Source organism: Homo sapiens, chromosome 6 (assembly GCF_000001405.40).
Source record: "Homo sapiens chromosome 6, GRCh38.p14 Primary Assembly".
NCBI lineage: Eukaryota > Metazoa > Chordata > Mammalia > Primates > Hominidae > Homo > Homo sapiens.
In genome coordinates, this window is record NC_000006.12 from 31661028 (window position 1) to 31681988 (window position 20961).

Genomic DNA, 20961 nt, shown 5'->3' on the forward strand with positions numbered 1-20961 from the left:
AGACTTCATGAAAGGCTTTCCCAGAAAAGAAAAAATGAGGAGTCTTGCGACTTGAACAGCCCTCCCCTGCCCGTCTGCAAATTTGAATTCCTGGATTTCACAACAGTGAGCTCTTCTTGTGCCTACCACCCGGCATGAGCAAGACAAGGGGGTGGGTGGTGGGAGAGTGGGGAAGTGTGGGAAAGAAAAGTGTAGACAAATGGGTGGAACAAAGAAGTTTAAAGTTTAGATTTGGGGGCTAGAGTTCTGGTCCCAGTTCAACTAAGTGTACAAGCTTGATAATCGTGGGCCTTCCTATCACACTGGCCTCTTCCAGCAAAACCCTACCCATTCTCATCTCTAGAGGCCTTGACTTCCCTTATCACCCTGCATTATAATATTTGATAACATGGGCCGGGAGTGGTGGCTCATGCCTGCAACCCCAGCACTTTGGGAAGCCGAGGCCGGCGGATCACCTGAGGTCGGGAGTTCAAGACCAGCTTGGCCAACATGGAGAAACCCCGTCTCTACTAAAAATACAAAATTAGCTGGGCGTGGTGGGGCATGCCTGTAATCCCAGCTACTGGGGAGGCTGAGGCAGGAGAATCCCTTGAACTCGGGGGGCAGAGGTTGTGGTGAGCCGAGATCATGCCATTGCACTCCAGCCTGGGCAATGAGAGCGAAACTGCATCTCAAAAAAAAAAGAAAAAAATTGATAACATGGCACTTTCCCTCTCCAGCTGTGAACTCTTTGAGGGTTGGGAATGTCTTTACCTGTATTCTTGGCACATAGTATATGGACTTATGTTTGTGAAATCAGTGAATTGGCTGTAGTCAGGGAACTCCTCCTGGGGGAAGTGAGACTTGCACGAAGCTGGGCAATTCTTGGTCCAGGGGGGTTGAAAGAATAGGTGGGGGACTCCCAGGAGGGTCTGGGACCTGAAAGTGAACCCAGATTGGCAGGGAGGTGACCTTATCATGCCACCTGGAGAGGCTGCCCCTTCTGACTCAGGTGGGACTTGCATGTGGCTCCCAGGCTTCTGTTTGGCTTCCTCAAAATAGCTTCCAGAAAAGTGAATAAACCACAAATGGTTGATTTATTTCTGACTCTCAGCCCGTCTCTCACGAAGACAGAGCCTATTGACCAAAAACTTCAGGATCTGCATCTGAGCAGATCCCAGGAAGGGGAAGTCAAAGGGCCCAGGTCAGAGGCCCAAGTTCAGACTTCAGCAGCAGACTAGGGTCAGACTTTACCAAAGTCAGAACTCGAGGTTCATGTAAGTCCTTAGATCCCGCTCCCAAGCCCTGTCTTTCTCCTCCCTCCTTCTCTCCTCCCTCCAGCTCAGTGTGGCCACCCGAGGGGGTCTCTCCCTCCCAGCCACAGCTCGGGTATCCCAAGCTGGGAAATGTGTCACTCGGGGCTGGGGTGCTGATCTGTAGCCTAGTCCTTCCTGGTCCCTCTTGAGGACAGTGGGGATGGGATTGGCACGGCCCTCACCCCGGGGTCCCAGCCCCATTCCTGGCTCCCAGCCCCCCCTCAGCAGCAGTTTGAAGCCCGGGCTGGAGATGGGCACCCCAAGTGGAAGGTTGGGAGGCTGAGGACCCTGCGACAGTGACAGCAGGTGAGCAGTGGATGTGCGGTGGTTGGAATCTTGGAAGTGGGTGTCACAGTTCTCGCAGTACTGGAGGGAGGGAGTAGGAGACCTGCAGAGAAAGAAGAAAAAGCATTAAGGGCAGGGGAAGGAAAAGGGGAAGAGTTGAGGCCTCAGAGGGGGCTGGCAGGGTAGAATAGGATCTTTTCAGCTTTTCTGCTAAGGAACAAATTGCCAGCTAGGCATAGTGGCTCACGCCTGTAATCCCAACACTTTGGGAGGCAGAGGCGGGCAGATGGCTTTGAGCTCAGGAGTTTGAGACCAGCCTGGGCAAAATGGCAACGCCTGCTTTTTTTTTTTTTTTTTTTGAGATGGAGTCTTGCTCTGCTGCCCAGGTTGGAGTGCAGTGCCATGATCCTGGCTCACTGCAACTTCCACCTTAGCGATTCTCCTGCCTCAGCCTCCCAAGTAGCCGGGATTACAGGCACATGCCACCATGTCCCGGCAAAGCCTGCTTTCTACAAAAAATATGCTTGAGCCCAGGAAGCGGAGGTTGCAGTGAGCTGAAATCACACCATTGCACACCAGCCTGGGCGACAGAGTGAGATGAGTGAGACTTTGTCTCAAAAAAAAAAAAAAAAAAAAAAGGGACAAATTGCCTTCCTTCCTACTTAACAGTGAGGGATCCAGGCTGGTCCAAAGGTGGTGGTGAGTTATCTGAATTAATTGTTCACTCAGTTACAGATCAAACTCCTTACTCCACTTTTCCCCTCCTTCTCACTACTGCACTTGACTTGTCTTAAAAACAAATTTCTTTAAACCATTGTGGGATCCAGAGCAGAATAGTTGAAAGAAAAAAATGGTAACCAGACCTAGCAAACTCTTGGGCAAGGGGAGGGACATTAGTCATAATGACTATAGCTAACATTCATGTATTGCATACTATGCGGCATGCACTATTCTAGCATTTTACATATATTAACCCATTGAATCCTAACAACAATTCTTACTACCCCCATTTCTAAGATGAGAAAACTGGAACATGTAGACATTAGGTTGTTTGCCCAAGTAAGTGGAATCAGGCTTTAAATCCAGGGAGCTCATGTTTATAACCACTTGACTATACTACCCTGTCAACCTACACATGAGGATAAGGAAAGAACTCTTCAGCACTGTGCTGGGGCGTCTGGTGTGGTGTGGCTGGGAGAGGCAGAACACAATGAGACATGGGTCTGAGCTAAAGTTTCCCCTTACCGGTTTTCCGGGCTCCTTGTCTCTCCATGGCTCTCCCTGACCATGCGGGCTACCTCAGGGAAGCCAGCTTCTTCAGCGAGCTGAGCCGCATCCCTGCCACTCAGCTCACAGACCCCCACCCAGGCAGCCCCACGGCCCAGGAGATAGCTCACAGCTGCCCCCTGGCCCGCTCGAGCAGCACACATCAGTGGGGTCCACCAGAAGGCATCCCGGGCGTTGATATTCCCCCCAGCTCCTCCTGCCTCATGCGGTTCCAGCAGTCTCCTAAGTTCTGGCAGGTCCCCCTCCTGGGCTGCCCTCAGTATCCGGTGAGTCATCTTATCCTCAGCCTCAAGGGATCTCCCTTGTCCATGTCTTCCTGATGCTCCTTCTGCCACTGCTTCTGCTGCTGGTGCCTTCATTATTCTTCTTTTCTTTCTCTTTCTTTCTCTGGCAGGTTCAGTCTGAGATCTCTGGGAGTCAGGAGCGCTGCTCTCATCCCCAATCAGGGCCTCATAGAAAGCTCGGGCTGCAGCCCCATCCAGGGTGGACTCTGGCTTCTCGGGCTGTGGCTGCTGCTGCCCATCCTTCCAGAGGTCGCTGGGGTCAGTGGCTGGGGTGAAGGTGATGAGCAAGGGCCGGGACATGGCTTTTGGGAGAACTGAGAAAATGATACCAGGCAAGGGAAGGATGAGACAAGTAAGCCAAGCTCGTGGTGACCCTGTAGCAACCACAGCCTCAGAGACCTGCTGGGATGAGAAAAAGTAGTCAAAAACACTTTCCTGCCACTAAAGTAACCCCACAACTTAGGACTCTGCAGGGCCTAAGGGAGAGAGACTTTGCGTAAAAACATGGAACCCTACAATACCGACTTTGCTCCTTAGTAAAGATTAATAAAACTCCATGAGACTGTTGTCCAGAGGTCCTGCGTCCGGCCCCCACCCCCATCCTCACCAACAATAAACACCAGCCTCTTTCTGAAACCACTTTCCCACCCCGTAAGACATACCAGTAGGAAAAAAAAATCAGCCTGGCCCTTTAAGTCTTCCGCGATCCCATTTCGGAGTTTCCTCTTCCCAAACAAAAATAGATGGGTCACTCCCTAGAAGATCTCGGGGAGAGTCTCCTATACGTGTTGCTGTGTAGCTTCCGTACCGCAAAATGGCGCCATTCTAATCAGAAGAGTTGACACAATCAAATAGCCACACGGCACGAAGACGCATGCGTGGCGACAACAACAACAAAAACCACAACCCACATTACTTGAGGGCTCGGGCGTGCGCAAAGCTCCGGGTTCAGTTTCCCGCGCTGGAACTTTTTCAATAGTAAACGAGCAAAGCTCCGCGCGCCCAGGTGGCGCGAGCACTAGGATCTGTCGGTTGGGGTCCTACTTTTACATAACGCCCCCACAATGCCCTTCGCCTTCCTCAACGTGGCCCCCGCTCCAAGCCCATTTTCTGGAGCCAGGAATCCACTCTGTGGGTTAGGAAAGGCCCTCAGGAGGCGGAGGGAAACCTGTGGAATGCCGAGAAGCCGTGTAATGAAATAACGTCACGCCTGCCCCTCACCATTACTCTGACCAGGGTTCGAAGGTCACACTTAGAGCCTAAGGGGAAATGGAGAAGTGCAAAGGGACGAGCAGAATGGCTGGCACCACCTCAGGTTAGCGCACTGGGACGTTCCAGTTCTCACACCGCCCACCCCACCCCACCCAAGTCCCTACGCACGGAGCCAAGCCGCACCTCTCCCCTCATGAGGCAGGAGCCCGGAGGAAACAGTATGCCCGTCAAGGGTCTCTGGCGGGACTGATTCGCACTAGGGGCCCAACAGGCAATAAGGACCCAGCGGATTGGCCGAGGATAGGCCAGTCCCCTGGGCAGCAGCGCCGCGCCGGGACTAGAGGGGAACGTGAGGAGAGCTGCGGAAAGAGATCCAGCCTGGCTCCCTCCTTTCCCCGCCCTAAGTCAGCCTCTTCACCCAGTGAGCACAAAACTGTATTGCCCAGACTCCCGGGCCCCGAACGCCATACCTGGCTTCCGCTTCCGGTGGCTTCTCGTTGTGCCCCGCCCGCAAGCGCCCTCCTCCGGGCCTTCGTGACAGCCAGGTCGTGCGCGGGTCATCCTGGGATTGGTAGTTCGCTTTCTCTCATTTAGCCAGTTTCTTTCTCTACCGGGGACTCCGTGTCCCGGCATCCACCGCGGCACCTGACCCTTGGCGCTTGCGTGTTGCCCTCTTCCCCACCCTCCCTAATTTCCACTCCCCCCACCCCACTTCGCCTGCCGCGGTCGGGTCCGCGGCCTGCGCTGTAGCGGTCGCCGCCGTTCCCTGGAAGTAGCAACTTCCCTACCCCACCCCAGTCCTGGTCCCCGTCCAGCCGGTGAGTCTGAAGTCGTCGCTGCTCCGAGTCCCTTGTCGCTGGGAGCGGCACATGGGGTCTCCGGACTTTGATGTGGGGGCGGGGGAGGAAGCGACCAGGTCCGGCACGAAGGAGGGAGAGGTGGCCTGAGGAGCGGAGGGGGGATGTGTGGATTCCGGTGAAAGGGACCTGACAATCGCCCCCAACCCGTGAGAAAAGGAGGAGCCCAGTTCTTGCTTGAGAATGATAAACTTGGAAACCCTTGGGAAAGGCGTGGGGGTCATGCAGAGACTTGTATTGGTAGGGAGCCTGAGTCGAGGTCCCTGCCGGAGTTGACACAGAGGAGAGAGGGCCCTGGCCTTCGGGAGCTCCAGGGATGTGGGTCGGGCTGGTGGGTCAAAGTATCTGTTGGCTTCTTTCAAGTGGTGGGACCCCAAAGAATGTTTAACTTCAAAGAAAAGGGGCTGAGATGTAAATTAGAGGAGCTGGAGAGGAGTGCTTCAGAGTTTGGGTTGCTTTAAGAAAGGGTGGTTCCGAATTCTCCCGTGGTTGGAGGGCCGAATGTGGGAGGAGGGAGGATACCAGAGGCAGGGAAGGAGAACTTGAGCTTTACTGACACTGTTCTTTTTCTAGCTGACGTGAAGATGAGCAGCTCAGAGGAGGTGTCCTGGATTTCCTGGTTCTGTGGGCTCCGTGGCAATGAATTCTTCTGTGAAGTGAGTTCTCTTCAACCTCCCTACTTGCCAGCTTCACATATCTTCCCACCAGACGTTCCTTCACATATTCCACTTCTGCACTGTTCTCTTACATGCTATTTGAAAACTTCCTATCAGCAAAGAGTCCCCCCTATAAACCCCGACGAACCTGTGCTAAAGTGGCAAAACTGGGGCCCAAGTCCTGAGTCTGCCACCGTCCAGCAATATAACGTTGGGCTAGTCAATTTGTGTCTTTTTCTTTTTTTTGAGACTGGGTCTCACTCTGTCACCGAGGCTGGAGGGTAGTGGTGCGATCTCGGCTTACTGCCACCTCTGCCTCCCAGGTTCAAGCGATTCTCCTGCTCCAGCCTCCCAAGTAGCTGGGATTACAAGTGCCTGCCACCATGCCTGGCTAATTTTTGTATTTTTAGTAGAGACAGGGTTTCACTATGTTGGCCAGGCTGGTCTCGAACTCCAGACCTCAGGTGATCTGCCTGCCTCGGCCTCCCAAAGTGCTGGGATTACAGGCGTGAGCCATTGCGCCCGGCCTGTATCTTTTGTTACTAAAGTGGCACTGCTAGTACTTGTCTCAGGTGGCCTTTAGGAAAACTGAAATGCTACACATTGAAATGTTTTGTTCAGAAACCATGCTGTTCAGCTTCCACCTTCCTTAGCCAGCTGAGAGGACAAAACTGGTTCCTAGAGACGGGATACAGGAGTGGAGTAGGGACAAAGATCTTGAAAAGAATGTCTAAGAAAAAGATTGCTGTATCTACTTATCCTTAGAAAAGAAAAGCCAAAGCTTTTATGGGAGAGAGTGTAGGTGAACTAGGGAGAGACACAAGTACTTCTGCTGAGTTGGGAGTGAGAAACAAGCACAACAGATGCAGTTGTGTTGATGATAAGGCATCACTTAGAGCATTTTGCCCAGGTCAAAGATGAGGATTTTGATATGGGTTCCCTCTTGGCTTCCATGTCCTGACAGGTGGATGAAGACTACATCCAGGACAAATTTAATCTTACTGGACTCAATGAGCAGGTCCCTCACTATCGACAAGCTCTAGACATGATCTTGGACCTGGAGCCTGGTGAGGCACCCTCAGGGTTGTTTTGTGTGTGTGCGTGCACTATTTTTCTCTTCAAATCTCTATTCACTTGCCTGAATTTTGAAATTTCCTTTGGTTCTCTGATTTCTTTAACCCCAAATTCATGCTTTATTTTGATCCTCCACCTGACTCTTGTCTAGTTTTGTGACGTATATCACTTGTTCTCATGTTTTCTAAATCCGCAATTCAGACCTATTCCAAAATGCGTTTCCTCATGGGTCTGGTTTGTTGTCTGTTTCTCCTGCTTTGCACCTTCCAGTCTAGAATTTCATCTTCTGCATTGACATTGTTGCAGTTATGTATTGAGGAGGGAGTTGGGAGGGAGAGCAAGGAGCAGAGGCTGAAAAGGTGTGAAGGGAAGGCAGAGCTGTCTTCGTTTGATGCAAGGGTCAGAAGCCCAGGTTTCTGGGTCCCATGCCCAGATGTTGGATGGGGTAAGGCCCAAAAGTAGGTGCTAGGCAAACTGAATAGCCCGCAGCCCCTGGATATGGGCAGGGCACCTAGGAAAGCTGAAAAACAAGTAGTTGCATTTGGCCGGGCTGTGTTTCAGATGAAGAACTGGAAGACAACCCCAACCAGAGTGACCTGATTGAGCAGGCAGCCGAGATGCTTTATGGATTGATCCACGCCCGCTACATCCTTACCAACCGTGGCATCGCCCAGATGGTGAGGCCTCTCTGCTCCTACCTGCCTCCTTCTGAGCAGTAAGAGACACAGGTTCCTGCAGCAAGAAGTCATGTTTAAGCCCTGTTTAAGGAAGCTAGCTGAGAAGAGGGGAAGAACCCCAGAACTTGGGCCTGGGAATTGAATTCTGATTGGGGGTCATCCTGAAGGGATTGTTTTCAGGGAGGGAGACAGACCTTGAATCAGAGAGTTGTGATAGACTGCCTCTTCCTCAAGGAACAAACAACAAATGGCTCTGATGGTTTGTAGCCTGCCTAATTGGAAGAAAGGCAACACAGAAGTTTGAGAGCCCATCTAGTCCAGAGAAGGGGCCTCTGGACAGAGGTGGGAGGAGTGGGGGACAGAGTGGTATGGGTTGGGCTGCGAAGGGAGTTGCCTCTTCTTTACATCTACCTGCCAACCCCTTCCATTGTATTCACCTCAGTTGGAAAAGTACCAGCAAGGAGACTTTGGTTACTGTCCTCGTGTGTACTGTGAGAACCAGCCAATGCTTCCCATTGGTGAGTGTTGAAGAAGGGAAAGGAAAGCACCGTGTGGCAGTCTTATGGGAAGGAGTTGGGGCTCAACACATTGGAGCCTGAGTCCTGAGGGGAGGTTAGGTAGGAATAGGGGGATACCTGGCCTGCTGAGTCTGGCTGTCTCCCAGGCCTTTCAGACATCCCAGGTGAAGCCATGGTGAAGCTCTACTGCCCCAAGTGCATGGATGTGTACACACCCAAGTCATCAAGACACCATCACACGGATGGCGCCTACTTCGGCACTGGTTTCCCTCACATGCTCTTCATGGTGCATCCCGAGTACCGGCCCAAGAGACCTGCCAACCAGTTTGTGCCCAGGTAGGGAGCAGGGAGAGTCATTAAGGGTCAAAGGAAAGGCCCAAGATCCCCCAGAGAGGGGAGGACAGGGCATGGCCCTTTCTTGAGGTCTGCTTCTCCCAGAATCAGGGCATCTCCCTGCTGAGTGACTGTGGGAAAGTTATTTGATTATCTGTGCTTGAGTTACCTTATTGTAGAATGTTCTTGAGCTGAGAAGTTGGGAACCACGAGGCTTTAGCTCTGAGCAGGTCCATAGAGGAGCTCAGGTGGGGAGGTGGGAATGCAGGTGACTGGCAGGGCCTGGATGGGGCTCATGCTGCTGCCTCTCTGACCTCTGCCCTGGCCTAGGCTCTACGGTTTCAAGATCCATCCGATGGCCTACCAGCTGCAGCTCCAAGCCGCCAGCAACTTCAAGAGCCCAGTCAAGACGATTCGCTGATTCCCTCCCCCACCTGTCCTGCAGTCTTTGACTTTTCCTTTCTTTTTTGCCACCCTTTCAGGAACCCTGTATGGTTTTTAGTTTAAATTAAAGGAGTCGTTATCGTGGTGGGAATATGAAATAAAGTAGAAGAAAAGGCCATGAGCTAGTCTGCTGGTGCTTGCTGTTGGGGAAGGGAAGGTGATGGTGTGTTGGACTCCAGGGGCCCTCATGGCCCAGCCCACCCTCCCCAGATTGAAAACCAGGACAGATTTGTGCTCAGTGGATTGGGTGGTGTTTTTAGTATGGAGCAGAACAGAATTCCTAGGACTGCGTGTGATGAAATGCAAGGTCAAAAGGAAAAGACAAAGCATATTTCAAAGATGAGAAATATTTGTTTGGATATCTATGACTGTCTGTTTATACTGTAAGGGGCTTAATCAGCAGCTCCATCTTTTAGTTTTAGTTCTAAAGGAAAAGTAGCCTAAAGTCAGTATAACTAAAGGGTGGAACGAGGTGGGACAAGGTCCGGAATTGCTGCTCAGTGATGTGTGTGTGCCTGCCGCTGGTGGAGCTGAGACTGCTCATCTCAGAAGGATGGGGATGCTTGATTTCCTGGCCAGGTTGTCCCAGCACAGTGGGGATTGGCCCTGTTGTATGACGAAGACAGCACATGGTGGCAGAGATAGATACTAACCCATGGACTTTCCAAGGGAGGGAATAGGTCTTTGGAGGGTATGCAAGACAAAGGTAGACACTGGATAAAGAACCCGGTAGTGCCCAGGTATTACCCCATCTGGGCCATTACTCCCACACTCAGGAACCAGACGTTGTGGGTGAGGACATGCTGTCCCTCCTGCCAAGTAATAACTTCCTTCCCAGCCAGGATCCTGCCCCAAGTAGGAATATAGCTCTGCATTTACAGCAGCTCCTGCTCAGACCTTGTCAAAACCACCCTGCAGCTTAGGATTAAGGAGCATGGTCACAGGAAGGTGGGGTTTCAGGGCATCCCCTCAGGAACTGCCCATCTCCCCAGAATTCCAAAATGAAGGTCCATATGCTTGTAGGTGTGCTGGTCATGGTGGGCTTCACAGTAGGAAAGGGTAAGTGGGGCCCAGGGGCAGGGAGGGAGGAAGGGGTAACTGAGTCCAGGAAGGGGGTGGAGCGTGGCCATGGATAATCGGGCTTCCTACTGGCCCAGGGTATTTGAGAGTGACCCAGTGCCTCCATCCCTCCTTCTGCCTCCCCAGTTCCTGTTCCCGACATCCGGACGTGCCACTTCTGCCTCGTAGAAGACCCTTCTGTAGGATGCATTTCAGGCTCAGAGAAGTGTACCATCAGCAGCTCATCCCTGTGCATGGTGATCACCATCTATTATGGTAAATAAGGTCCCAGGAAGGGGCTGCTGGTGGGGCAGCCAATGGCTTGGTCTTCTCTCCTCTCACAGATCAGGGCTGCTCCGGGCATGGGGTACAAGAAGAGAGGAGGGGCTGAGTGCAATGGCTCATGCCTGTAACCCTAGCACTTTGGGAGGCTGAGGCAGGTGGATCACTTAAGCTCTAGAGTTCAAGACCAGCCTAGGCAACATAGTGAGACCCTGTCTCTACAAAAAAATAGCCAGGCATGGTGGTATGCACCTGTAGTCCCAGCTACTCGGGAGGCTGAGGTGGGAGATCTCTTAAACTCAGGAGGCATAGGTTGCAGTGAGCCAAGATTGCGCCACCATGCTCCAGCCTGAGTAACAGAGCTAGACCCTGTCTCAAAAAAAACCAGAAGAATCTTGGAAGGAGGGGTCTAAGGTTCTAGGGGGCCAGCAGAGCTCACTTTTCTAGCCTCTTGAAGGACTCTGGGTTAGAAGTAAATTAGGTCTGGGTGAAGGATGGGAAAAGTCAGTAGCAGGGGTTCTTGGACTATGGGAAGCTATTGGAAGGGGTTATCAGCTTTCCCCTCTCCCTCAGATGTCAAGGTTCGCTTCATCGTTCGAGGCTGTGGACAGTACATTTCCTACCGCTGCCAAGAAAAACGCAACACCTACTTTGCAGAGTACTGGTATCAGGCCCAGTGCTGTCAGTACGATTATTGCAACTCCTGGTCAAGCCCCCAACTCCAGAGCTCTCTGCCGGAGCCCCATGACAGGCCCCTGGCCCTGCCTCTGTCTGACTCCCAGATTCAGTGGTTCTACCAGGCCCTGAACCTCTCCCTGCCCCTCCCCAATTTCCATGCTGGGACGGAGCCTGATGGCCTGGACCCCATGGTCACACTGTCCCTGAACCTGGGCTTGTCTTTTGCTGAGCTGCGCCGCATGTACTTGTTCCTCAATAGTTCAGGACTTTTGGTTCTTCCCCAGGCTGGACTCTTGACACCTCACCCTTCCTGAATTCCACAGTGCAAATATCTTTCTGTAACACCCTCAGCATCCTGCACTGCCCTCTCTGAAAACACCCACATTCTTTGGTCACTGTGATTTCTTAGGCCTCCGTCTGTTGTACCACTAGCATCTATATGACTTTTGTGTAATTTTCTCTCTTGAACTCTGGTGCTGTTTTTTTGTTTGTTTGAGACAAAGTCTCGCTCTGTCACCCAGGGTGGAGTGCAGTGGCATGATCTCTGCTCACTACAACCTCCACCTCCCGGGTTCCAGCGATTCTCCTGCCTCAGCCTCCCGAGTAGCTGGGACTACAGGCGTGCACCACCACGCCTGGCTAATTTTTTGTATTTTTAGTAGAGACGGGGTTTCACCATGTTGGTCAGGCTGGTCTCGAACTCCTGACCTCGTAATCTGCCCTCCTCGACCTCCCAAAGTGCCGGGATTACAGGTGTGAGCCACTGTGCCTGTCTGAGCTCTGGTGCTGTTCTTCCCCCTAGAAAAGAATCTCTAGTGTGGATTCTGCCCAGACAGGCTGACCTGAGAAAGGCACAGTGGTTCCTCCATTCCTTCCCCATCATCTGAGTGTTCCAGTATCCCCCATCCCTCTCAATCCAGTCACCTGCCTATTGACATCTAGCTCTGTTTCCCCTGTCTTGTCCATGTCTCTAAGACCCAGTACCAGACTGAACTAGCAGCAAGAAGGACGAGGAGGCCGGGCATGGTGGCTCACGCCGGTAATCCCAGCACTTTGGGAGGCCGAGGTGGGCGGATCACTTGAGATTGGGAGTTTGAGACCAGCCTGGCCAACATGGTAAAACCCGCTCTCTATTAAAAATAGAAAAATCAGCTGGGTGTGGTGGCACACCTCTGTAATCCCAGCTACTCAGGAGGCTGAGACAGGAGAATCACTTGAACCCGGGAGGCAGAGGTTGCAGTGAGCCGAGATCGCGCCACTGCACTCCAGCCTGGGTGACACAGTGAGACTCCGTCTCCAAAAAAAAGGATGAGGAATAGAATTCTGTGCAGATGTCCTGACTTGGCAATTTTGTGTCCCTGCCTCACTGTCTCCACCAACCCCCGCCTGTCCTAGTGTTGTTCTGCCTCCTGTCCTCTCTTGCTCTCTTGTCAGTCTCTGGCTTCCTCGGCCCCATTTCACTTCACTGAGTCCTGACACCCATCTCCCTAGGGGCCTGTGAGAGGAGAGGGAAGGGTCTGTTCTGCTCAGCTCCATGTCCCCCATTTTCCTCCACAATAAACTGGGACTGGGCTAAAACTGTGTCACATTGTTTGTGGGGTCAGGCTCAGGTGTGGGCAGGTAAACACAGATTAAAGAGGGTTAATGCCTGGCGCAGTGGCTCACGCCTGTAATCCCAGCACTTTGGGAGGCTGAGGCAGGCGGATCACCTGAGATTGGGAGTTTGAGACCAGCCTGACTAATATGGAGAAACCCCATCGCTACTAAAAATACAAAATTAGCCGGGCTTGGTAGCGCATACCTGTAATTACAGCTACTCGGGAGGCTGAGGCCGGAGAATCACTTGAACCTGGAAGGTGGAGGTGGCGATGAGCCGAGATTGCACCATTGCACTCCAGCCTGGGCAACAAGAGTGAAACTGTGTCTCAAAAAAAAAAAAAAAAAAAAGGGTTAGTGAGGTTTGGGATCCAAATAGGATTGCAGAGCCCTCTCCATTGCACTTGGCGTTTGTCGCTTCCTCTCGGCCTCCTGTAAAGGGCACACATCCCTCCCCACCCTCTGCTTAGCTGGAGATCAAAGCATGGGGACTGTGATTCTTCCCAGCCTTAAACATACCCTACAAAACCTGGAAAGTTAGACCCTGATGATGCCAGGTCTTTTCACCTAAGAAAAGAAACTTTAGGCCAGGTGCGGTGGCTCATGCTTGTAATCCCTGAACTTTGGGAGGCCGAGGTGGGTGGATCACCTGAGGTCGGGTTTGAGACCAGCCTGACCAACATGGTGAAATCTTGTCTCTACTAAATATGAAAAATTAGCTGGGCATGGTGGCTCATGCTTGTAATCCCAGCTACTTGGGAGGCTGAGGCAGGAGAATTGCTTGAACCGGGGAGGTGTAGGTTGCAGTGAGCTGAGATCACGCCATTGCACTCCAGACAGGGCAACAAGAGCGAAACTCTGTCTTAAAAAAAAAAAAAAAAGCCTGGGCGCGGTGGCTTGCCTGTAATCCCAGCACTTTGGGAGGCCGAAGCAGGCGGATCATGAGGTCAGGAGTTCGACACCAGCCTGACCAACATGGTGAAAGCCCATCTCTACTAAAAAAAAAAAAAAAAAAATTAGTTGGGCATGGTGGCACGTGTCTGTGATCCCAGCTACTCAGGAGGCTGAGGCAGGAGAATCGCTTGAACCTGGGAGGCAGAGTTTGCAGTGAGCCGAGATCGTGCCACTGTACTCCAGCCTGGGTGACAGACCGAGACTGTCTCCAAAAAAAAAAAAAAAGAAACTTTCTCTTTAAACCAGAAAGACTCAGGAACTCAGAGCCACATGCCAGAGTTACCTGCTGCTGGGGCCCTGGACTCCTGCCATTCCTTAGTTCTTTTCAAGGATTCTGGCATCCAGGATGCCCTCTCGAGGGGCCCAATTTGAGGGGCAAAGTGCTGAGAGCACTGATGTTGGGCTGCAGTGGTTGGATCTTCATGCTAATATTTTAATTTTGAAATAGTGCAAACGTATAGAAAGCAAGGATGGATACAACAGCCTTTTCCATACACTGGATAAACATGCTGGACATAACGCTGCTCTGAGTCAGGCTTGGTATTGAGCAGCAGGACTCCCAGATGAGTATAGCCAGGTGTCTGCCCTTCCAAGTCTTGCAGCCCAGTGCTTGGGTTATGAAACCTTTTTCTGAAAAGCAGTGCAGCTTTGTGGCTGGGAGGTCCAATCCCAGCCCCTCTACCACTTGGATATGTCAGTCTCTTCAGCCCCACCTTGGTCACCTGTCAAGTAGGGATAGTGCCTCAGATGATTGAGAAAACACATGTAAATGTGCATACACAAGTAGAAGTTAAGGCCTTTTCCCCCTCAAAAAAATATATTTGCCCTAGAGTCAAATGCATACACAATGTTCAGCTTTTTTTTCTAAGGTTCTTACTATGTTGCCCAAGCTGGCCTTGAACTCCTGGGCTCAAGAGATTCTTCTGCCTCAGCCTCCAAGTAGCTGGGACTACAGATGCACACCACCATGCTCACCTGGCTGATTTACTTATTTTCAAACCTTTTTGGTAAAACATTCAGAAGCTTGCACATATCACAAGATGGATTTTTGTAAACCACACATCTGTGTAACCAGCCACCAAATCAGCGTGAAGACCTTTACCTGCAGCCAAGCCTGCCTCTGTTCCCCTCTCCCAGGTGCTCTTCCCAGCTCTGGGGTAGCCGCTGTCCTGACTGGTAGTAGCTTAGATGAGTTCTGTCTGTGCTTGATGGAAATGGCATCGTACGCATCTGCTTTTACCTATATAGTGTTTTGCACACGTGTTAACAAATCTGTGTGGCCTGTACTCTGACGGAAAATACCAAACCAATGATAATTAAGTCATGAGGCAGTTGGCGTACAAAGAGAGGTACAAACCCTTAATGTGCCCCCCAACCCCCACCTTGCTAAGTCCACCCTTCTCCATGACCTCTGACGTCAGTATAAGACAGAGAAAGGCCCAGGTTTATAGCAGGTCAACCTGGAAGACACCCTCAGAGGCTGAAGAACTTGGCCCAGAATTGAAGAGACCAGGACTCCAATAAGGTCTAACATCTCTTTGAGAGTGGCCTTCTCGGCTCGGGGTGACTCACGCCTGTAATCCCAGCCCTTTGGGAGGCCAACGCAGGCAGATCACTTGAAGTCAGGAGTTCGAGACCAGCCTGGCCAACTGGTGAAACCCCGTCTCTACTAATAAAATATAAAAATTAGCCAGGTGTGGTGGCATGTGCTTGTAATCCCAGCTACTCGGGAGGCTGAGGCAGAAGAATCACTTGAACCTGGGAGGCAGAAGTTGCAATGAGCCAAGATCACACCACTGCACTCCAGCCTAGGTGACAGTGAGACTGTCTCAAAAAAAGAGTGGCCTTCTCACCCACCTCCTTCTACCTGGGCCTGGTCCTTTCGCAGCCCCCTTCCCACCAACATAGCCCTCTAAACGCCCCTAGCCCCCACACAGCTCTGGTCTGACAGCACTGCCGAGGATGCCCACTAACTTTCTGGCATTCACCATAGGAGGGCTTTCATTTCCTCTTTCTCTTTTTGTGTCTAGAGCAAATCACATACCAAGGCAGGACAAGAGGACAGCTCAGCAGAGCTGGGGGTCCCTTACCTGACCCATGGTAGGGCAGTTAGGCAGGTGCACCTCCCTCAGCCTTCACCTCCACCAGAAGAAAGAGACATACCAAACAGTTTACACACAAATTTATTTGGGAGAAACATCCAGGGACTAGGGGACAAGAGAGGAAACCTGGTGGGCAGTAGGGCTGGGGGTACAGAGTAGCAGTAAGTGTGCTGAAGGGCGTCAACCAAGAGGAAGAGCCAAGGCTGGGGTCCAGTGGCTGGAGGGAGGCAAGGAGGGCTGGTATGAGGGACTAGAAGTCCTGGCCAAGCCCAGATAGAAGTCAGGAAGGTGGCTGGAAACTGGTGGAATTTTACACCAAAGTTTGCTGCAGTCACACTAAGGAGTATAGAGCCCTCTGTTTTGAGGGTCATTGCAGAAATCCAGGAAGCAGTATTGAGAGAATATCCAGAAGCCAGACACCGGAGAAGTTCGGGTATTTGAACAATCACTCATCTGCTCCTTACTTCGGCAGTCACTCACCATGACGTCAGAACCGCTGCCTGGGGAGGGACAGTGGGCACCAGTGATACGGAAGTCCCCAGGAAGAGCCCCAAATCCTCTCATCCCCACACTCATAAGTCAAAAAAAAAAGAAAAAGAAAAGATTCCTGTAGTTAGGCATGGGTGGACATGCCCAGTGTTCACCAGCCATGGAACTCCACTGAAGTTCCCATGCAAGGCTGGAGGAAAAGAGCCATATGAAATGTAATGGTTGGAGGGGGAGTTGGGAGTTACTGAGCCAAGTGAGGAGAACTAGCACCATAGGACCATGTGAGAAAAAGCTGGGAAATGTTTTGGAGATTGGGTGGCAGGAAGGAGGTGTATTGTTATTTATTTTTCAGACCAAAAGAGAATAAGATGATGTCTGCTGCTGTTATACATAATAGAGAAAAATCTTTGTGCCTGCATCCCAAGAAGTCATGTTCAGGGATGTTTGCTGCTGCCCTGCTTGAGAGAAATGACCAAAATGCCCATCAATAGTGGGATGGGGAAATCAGCTGTGATATGCGCATGCTATGGAGTAGTATACAGCAGGTCAATAAAACAAGGAAGCTGTTTACAAACTGATATCGGAACATTCAGTTCCCCTAACTTAAATGTGGAATAATGTTTACAGTGGGATGCTACTATCTTGGGTTGGGGCGGGGGAAGAGGTGAAAAAATAGTAAACAGCATATTTGTGCAGGGTGGAATGTGCATAAAAGATTGCAGGAGGGATCATCCAGAAAGTAAAAAAAGTGGTCACATGTGCAGGGGAGCCAGGTGGGTTAGGGTAGTAGCGGGAGACTTTGGTTTGATGGTATTGTATACTCTGATATTTGACCCACATCTGTGCATCGGCTATGTTAAAAGGGTAGTAAGAGGACTTGAACACAGGCAGCTGCATGCAGTGGTTGTTGAGAGCACCATCTCTGGAGCCATCACAAATTCTGGCTCAGCATCTGTGAGACTCAGGCAAGGTTATGACCTTTCTGCACCTGTTTCCTCATCTGTAAAATGCACATAGTAATAATACCTGCCTCAGCGGATTGCAAGTGTTTAGAACAGTGCCTAGCACATATTATGTGTTACGTTTTTGCTAACTTAAGAAAGGTGGGGGGTCGGTGGAAGAGCAGGCATCGGGAAGGAGTCAATTTTCAGCGAGGGAGATGTCCAGTGGTCAACGGGATATGAGGAGAGCGGTTTGACATAACATTCAGATTCAGAAGGAAGTGGTATGTGGCTGCTGGTTGAAGCCAGCAAAGCAGATAAAATCCTCTGCTTTTGAGTATATGAAGTGGGAAGACAGCTAAGGACCAAACCTTGGTGAACATGAACCACTAAGGGTCAGAGAGAAAACGCTCCATGAAGGAGACTGAAGAAGCCGTGGAGGATGCAGGAGAAGAGCAACACCAGCAGTAACTGCAGACAGATGCGGAAGCAGACAGCTTGAGGACAGGCAAGGGCACCTGGAGATCTGGAGGGTCCCCGTCAAAGCTGCGCACCTTGATAGGGTAGAAGCTATTCAGCTACAGATTGAGGAGAGAAGGTTAGTGGAAGTGGAGACAGAGTGTGGCTCTGAAGAAAAGGGAAGAGAGGCTGGGCACGGTGGCTCACGCCTGTAATCCCAGCACTCTGGGAAGCTAAGGTGGGTGGATCACCTGAGGTCAGGAGTTCGAGACCAGCCTGGCCAACATGGTGAATCCCCATCTCTACTAAAAATACAAAAAATTAGCTGGGCGTGGTGGCGTGCACCTTTAATCCCAGCTGCTTGGGAGACTGAGGCACAAGAATTGCTTGAACTGGAGAGGTGGAGGTTGCAGTGAGCCAAGATTGCGCCACTGCACTCCAGCCTGGGTGACAGAGCAGCAAAAAAAAAAAGACAGGATTGGAGCAATGTCTTATGGGATTATGGGAACAAGACTTGGGGTGCAGCTTAGGAGGCTGAGAGAGTTTCCGTTTGGGAGAGTGCTGGGCCCATGACAGGAGAAGGCCACTTACTGTTCTTTTTGTGGAGAGTGATGCAGCTGCTGCCAGCTGGGGTGAGGCAGATGTCAGATCCCAGAAGGCACCCTAACTCCTTGGTCTCCAAGAGGCATCGGTAGCAGCGCAGGTATTTGGGGAATGGAAGTGGTTGAGGGGGTTCCCAATTGACAGGAACAAACTTACCTAGAACACAGAGAAGTGCTGACCCCACTCACACCCCATTCTACCTCACACCCTACCACTGCCTGATTCCAGGCCACTCAGCCCCACTCCTCCCTCCCTTCCTGTCTCAGAAAACCATCAAAGCCCCAATTCTCTGCTTCCTTCCCCAACTGCATACACATACATCCCCCTTTTCCTCTGGTCCTAAGGCCAGACCACATGTTAACAAATCCCCAGACCCAGCAGAGCACTTGGTGTTAGGCAGAGGAAAGTGCTAAACCAACACTTTGAATCCTGTGTCTCTGTGGCTGGTGCTTTGCAGCCAAGTGGGGAGCCCAGCAGGCTGGACTCAGTCTTGTTCTATCCTGTGGATTCTGGTTTTCTCATCCAGCACACTCCCTAACCCTCCCTATTCTATGTTGCCCTCAGATCCAGAGAGGATTCCTTCAGTATCTCTATTCAGGTCACTGCTGTGAAGTGAGACAGCCCTGGGGTGGTCACTAGAAATCTCCTTCAGAGGCTGGGTGCGGTGGCTCACGCCTGTAATCCCAGCACTTTGGGAGGCCAAGGCGGGCAGGTACCTGAGGTCAGGAGTTCGAGACCAGCCTGGCCAACATGGTGAAACCCCGTCTCTACTAAATATACAAAAATTAGCTGGGCTTGGTGGCTTATGCCTGTAATCCCAGTTATTCGGGAGGCTGAGGCATGAGAATCGCTTGAACCCGGGAGGTGGAGGTTGCAGTGAGCCGAGATCTCGCCACTGCACTCCGGCCTGGGATACAGAGCGAGACTCCATCTCAAAAATAATAATAATAATAAATTTTTAAAAATCTTCAGATTGCACATCAGTCCATGAGCAGGCATTCCCTACCAAACCCATCTGTCCCATCTCTCCTCCTGCATGGGTTTACCTGAGCATCCTGGACAGGTGTACCCAGACACTTGGTGTCTGTGGGTTTCTCCATCCAGGCCAGGAGACCCTTCTGAACCCTTGGAGCCACTTACCAAACACCAAGCTCATCATGACCAGCACTATTAAGAGGACCGTGTAGAGGGCTTGGGGGCTGCTGTGGAAGCACAGGGGACCCAGACTCTGGCTCCCTGCAGGGCCTGCCATAAAACGCATGACTGCCTGCTGGCCTCCAGTTTGGGCTTATATTGGTGGAAGAGAGGTTGGCCAAGAGGAAGGAGAGAGGCAACACCAGCTCAGGGTGGAAATCAGTGCCAGACCAGCCAGAGGGGCAGAATGTTCGCACCCACAGCCACTCTGGGGCATAACATCCTGCTTGAGGGCAGGGGACCAGCAATAGGGGAATGAGAAAAGGAACTGTCTTTCCTATTAATTGGACAGATGTTTATTGAATCACTGCATCAGATGCTGGGGATACAACCCTGCACAAAGTCTCCACCCTCACAGGGCACAGTCTAGTAGGGGAGACAAGTCCACCAGCAATGATGTGGGGAGGGCAGAGTGCTGCCAGGAGCACCTCGACAGTTAAACCACTGACCAGAGGGATTTCGGCAGAGGAGTAACTTGATCGGATTTCTGTTTATAAAAGATTGCCATGGCTGCACATTGCATTTGGGTCAAGAGTGGAGGCCGCCGGGAAGTAGGACGCTATTCCCGAGTCCGGTCACAAGATGGCGGACTGGTCCGGCAGAAGACGAGCAGGGACGAGGAAGCGGGGCTAATGAACCTGAGATACAGTTAGAAGACTGGACAGATTTGCTGTTGGACTGAACGAGGGGTGAGGGAACAGGGGTAGGCTTGCACAAGGAAGTGGTACCATTTTCCAAGATAGGAAACATGTGGTCTGTCTCAAAAAAAAAAAAAAAAAAGCAAATAGGGGGTGCCCAGTCCCACTTCTCATACCCTGGGGACACCTGTCAGACATCCTAAAACAAGGACACCTGGATCCCAAGCGATACGTACTCAGCTCAGTGCTCCCTTGGGGTTCCAGGAACCCAGCGCCTTCCCTCACCTCATCCTTTTTCCTGCCCCGCCTGTGCTCAGCTGCGGCTCAGTGGGCCTGAACTCCGGAGCCCACAGAATCTGGCGCTGGGCGTCCGCTCTCCGCGCCTGACCGCACCTCAGAACTCCGGTAGGACGGGGGGGTGGCCCCCCGCTCAAGCTCTGTTCCCTGGGGAAGAAACCTGGAAAGTGCGAACCGCGCGTCGGGACCCAAGCGTCGGGCCCCAGCGGACATCCGGAGCCCGAAGCGGCTCCCCAGGAAGGCGGCGCCGTAGCGCCACTCTCCCTCCCAGGCGAATTCTGGAGACCGCGGCCCCAGGCGTCTCACCCATTTTCTCCGCTGGGGACCCGCTGGGCTCCCCATCCACGCCTACTCGGTCCCCACCCCACCAGCTCAGTCTTGACTCAGAAACTCAGGGTTTTTACTTTTAGGATCGTTGGGCTGTGCGTTAGGGGAGGAGGTGGTCCTCAGCGTCCTGGAACGACACCACCTGCTCCAATTTCCCGTCTGGAGGTTCTGGTCGAGGCTCCGAACTCGGGTTCCCTGCTACCTCCCAGACTATTCAAGAATTATCCAGTCCCAGGATGATAAGGGGGAAGATGGGAAGAAACAGACGGGAGACGCCCGCCCAGAAAGACTGCGGGAAGAAAGAAATTCGAGAGGAAACTGCACGCCACTGAGCGCCTCCCAAAAGCCTTGGAATGAATGAATTTAAAAACTATATTAGGGCCGGACTGCGGTGGCTCACGCCTGTAATCCCAGCACTTT

The 20961-nt window shown here is 51.9% G+C and overlaps 4 protein-coding genes across 16 annotated transcripts, besides 2 other annotated features; 2 read left to right on the forward strand and 2 right to left on the reverse strand.

Moving 5' to 3' along the window:
* On the reverse strand, positions 201-5256 carry GPANK1 (G-patch domain and ankyrin repeats 1). Of its 12 annotated transcripts, none has more exons than XM_005249403.4 (4): positions 4834-5256; positions 3814-3976; positions 2826-3553; positions 201-1683 (listed from the first exon to the last, which is right to left on the reverse strand). In XM_005249403.4, the coding sequence occupies exons 3-4, from the start codon at positions 3449-3451 to the stop codon at positions 1239-1241; spliced, it is 1071 nt and encodes a 356-aa protein (XP_005249460.1). In that variant the 5' UTR covers positions 3452-3553; positions 3814-3976; positions 4834-5256; the 3' UTR covers positions 201-1238. The 12 variants fall into 12 exon arrangements, with proteins under 12 accessions (XP_005249460.1, XP_006715267.1, XP_047275306.1 ...); XM_006715204.2 differs by having other exon boundaries at positions 2826-3550; positions 4068-4864; XM_047419350.1 differs by having other exon boundaries at positions 4068-4864.
* Positions 4261-4855: an enhancer, noted in NCBI's record as "NANOG-H3K27ac-H3K4me1 hESC enhancer chr6:31633065-31633659 (GRCh37/hg19 assembly coordinates)". NCBI's record gives its function as "activates a minimal SCP1, AML or CMV promoter by ChIP-STARR-seq in naive H9 embryonic stem cells {active_cell/tissue: H9 hESC(naive)}" and the evidence as "EXISTENCE:reporter gene assay evidence [ECO:0000049][PMID:30033119]".
* CSNK2B (casein kinase 2 beta) lies at positions 5053-9040 on the forward strand. Of its 2 annotated transcripts, none has more exons than NM_001320.7 (7): positions 5053-5181; positions 5794-5876; positions 6841-6943; positions 7512-7627; positions 8070-8145; positions 8292-8481; positions 8809-9040. In NM_001320.7, exons 2-7 carry the CDS (start codon positions 5805-5807, stop codon positions 8897-8899), a joined length of 648 nt encoding a protein of 215 aa, NP_001311.3. In that variant the 5' UTR covers positions 5053-5181; positions 5794-5804; the 3' UTR covers positions 8900-9040. The 2 variants fall into 2 exon arrangements, with proteins under 2 accessions (NP_001311.3, NP_001269314.1); NM_001282385.2 differs by having other exon boundaries at positions 8301-8481.
* LY6G5B (lymphocyte antigen 6 family member G5B) lies at positions 8949-12519 on the forward strand. The gene is made up of 3 exons (NM_021221.3): positions 8949-9981; positions 10129-10257; positions 10837-12519. The coding sequence occupies exons 1-3, from the start codon at positions 9924-9926 to the stop codon at positions 11253-11255; spliced, it is 606 nt and encodes a 201-aa protein (NP_067044.2). The 5' UTR covers positions 8949-9923; the 3' UTR covers positions 11256-12519.
* A 3137-nt stretch (positions 12520-15656) lies between these two features.
* Positions 15657-20040, reverse strand: LY6G5C (lymphocyte antigen 6 family member G5C). The gene is made up of 3 exons (NM_025262.4): positions 19226-20040; positions 18074-18241; positions 15657-16093 (listed from the first exon to the last, which is right to left on the reverse strand). The coding sequence occupies exons 1-3, from the start codon at positions 19344-19346 to the stop codon at positions 15930-15932; spliced, it is 453 nt and encodes a 150-aa protein (NP_079538.3). The 5' UTR covers positions 19347-20040; the 3' UTR covers positions 15657-15929.
* Positions 19086-19293: a silencer, noted in NCBI's record as "fragment chr6:31647890-31648097 (GRCh37/hg19 assembly coordinates)". NCBI's record gives its function as "represses an EF-1alpha promoter that drives an FKBP-Casp9 reporter gene in an ReSE screen in K562 erythroleukemia cells {active_cell/tissue: K562}" and the evidence as "EXISTENCE:reporter gene assay evidence [ECO:0000049][PMID:32094911]".
* Positions 20041-20961: the final 921 nt, after the last annotated feature.

What these genes read in the sequence shown, in the direction of transcription:
- LY6G5C (NM_025262.4), bottom strand. Translation starts at nt 19,346, where the DNA reads ATGCGTTTTATGGCAGGCCCTGCAGGGAGCCAGAGTCTGGGTCCCCTG. An exon ending in CATGATGAGCTTGGTGTTTG is followed by an intron (nt 18,242 to 19,225) that starts GTAAGTGGCTCC and finishes TCTGTGTTCTAG; the next exon opens with GTAAGTTTGTTCCTGTCAAT. An exon ending in CACTCTCCACAAAAAGAACA is followed by an intron (nt 16,094 to 18,073) that starts GTAAGTGGCCTT and finishes GTCCCTCCCCAG; the next exon opens with GCAGCGGTTCTGACGTCATG.
- GPANK1 (XM_024446549.2), bottom strand. Translation starts at nt 3,451, where the DNA reads ATGTCCCGGCCCTTGCTCATCACCTTCACCCCAGCCACTGACCCCAGC. An exon ending in ACAAGGAGCCCGGAAAACCG is followed by an intron (nt 1,684 to 2,825) that starts GTAAGGGGAAAC and finishes CTTTCTCTGCAG; the next exon opens with GTCTCCTACTCCCTCCCTCC.
- CSNK2B (NM_001320.7), top strand. Translation starts at nt 5,805, where the DNA reads ATGAGCAGCTCAGAGGAGGTGTCCTGGATTTCCTGGTTCTGTGGGCTC. An exon ending in GCAATGAATTCTTCTGTGAA is followed by an intron (nt 5,877 to 6,840) that starts GTGAGTTCTCTT and finishes ATGTCCTGACAG; the next exon opens with GTGGATGAAGACTACATCCA. An exon ending in ACCGTGGCATCGCCCAGATG is followed by an intron (nt 7,628 to 8,069) that starts GTGAGGCCTCTC and finishes TATTCACCTCAG; the next exon opens with TTGGAAAAGTACCAGCAAGG.
- LY6G5B (NM_021221.3), top strand. Translation starts at nt 9,924, where the DNA reads ATGAAGGTCCATATGCTTGTAGGTGTGCTGGTCATGGTGGGCTTCACA. An exon ending in GGGCTTCACAGTAGGAAAGG is followed by an intron (nt 9,982 to 10,128) that starts GTAAGTGGGGCC and finishes CTGCCTCCCCAG; the next exon opens with TTCCTGTTCCCGACATCCGG. An exon ending in GGTGATCACCATCTATTATG is followed by an intron (nt 10,258 to 10,836) that starts GTAAATAAGGTC and finishes CCTCTCCCTCAG; the next exon opens with ATGTCAAGGTTCGCTTCATC.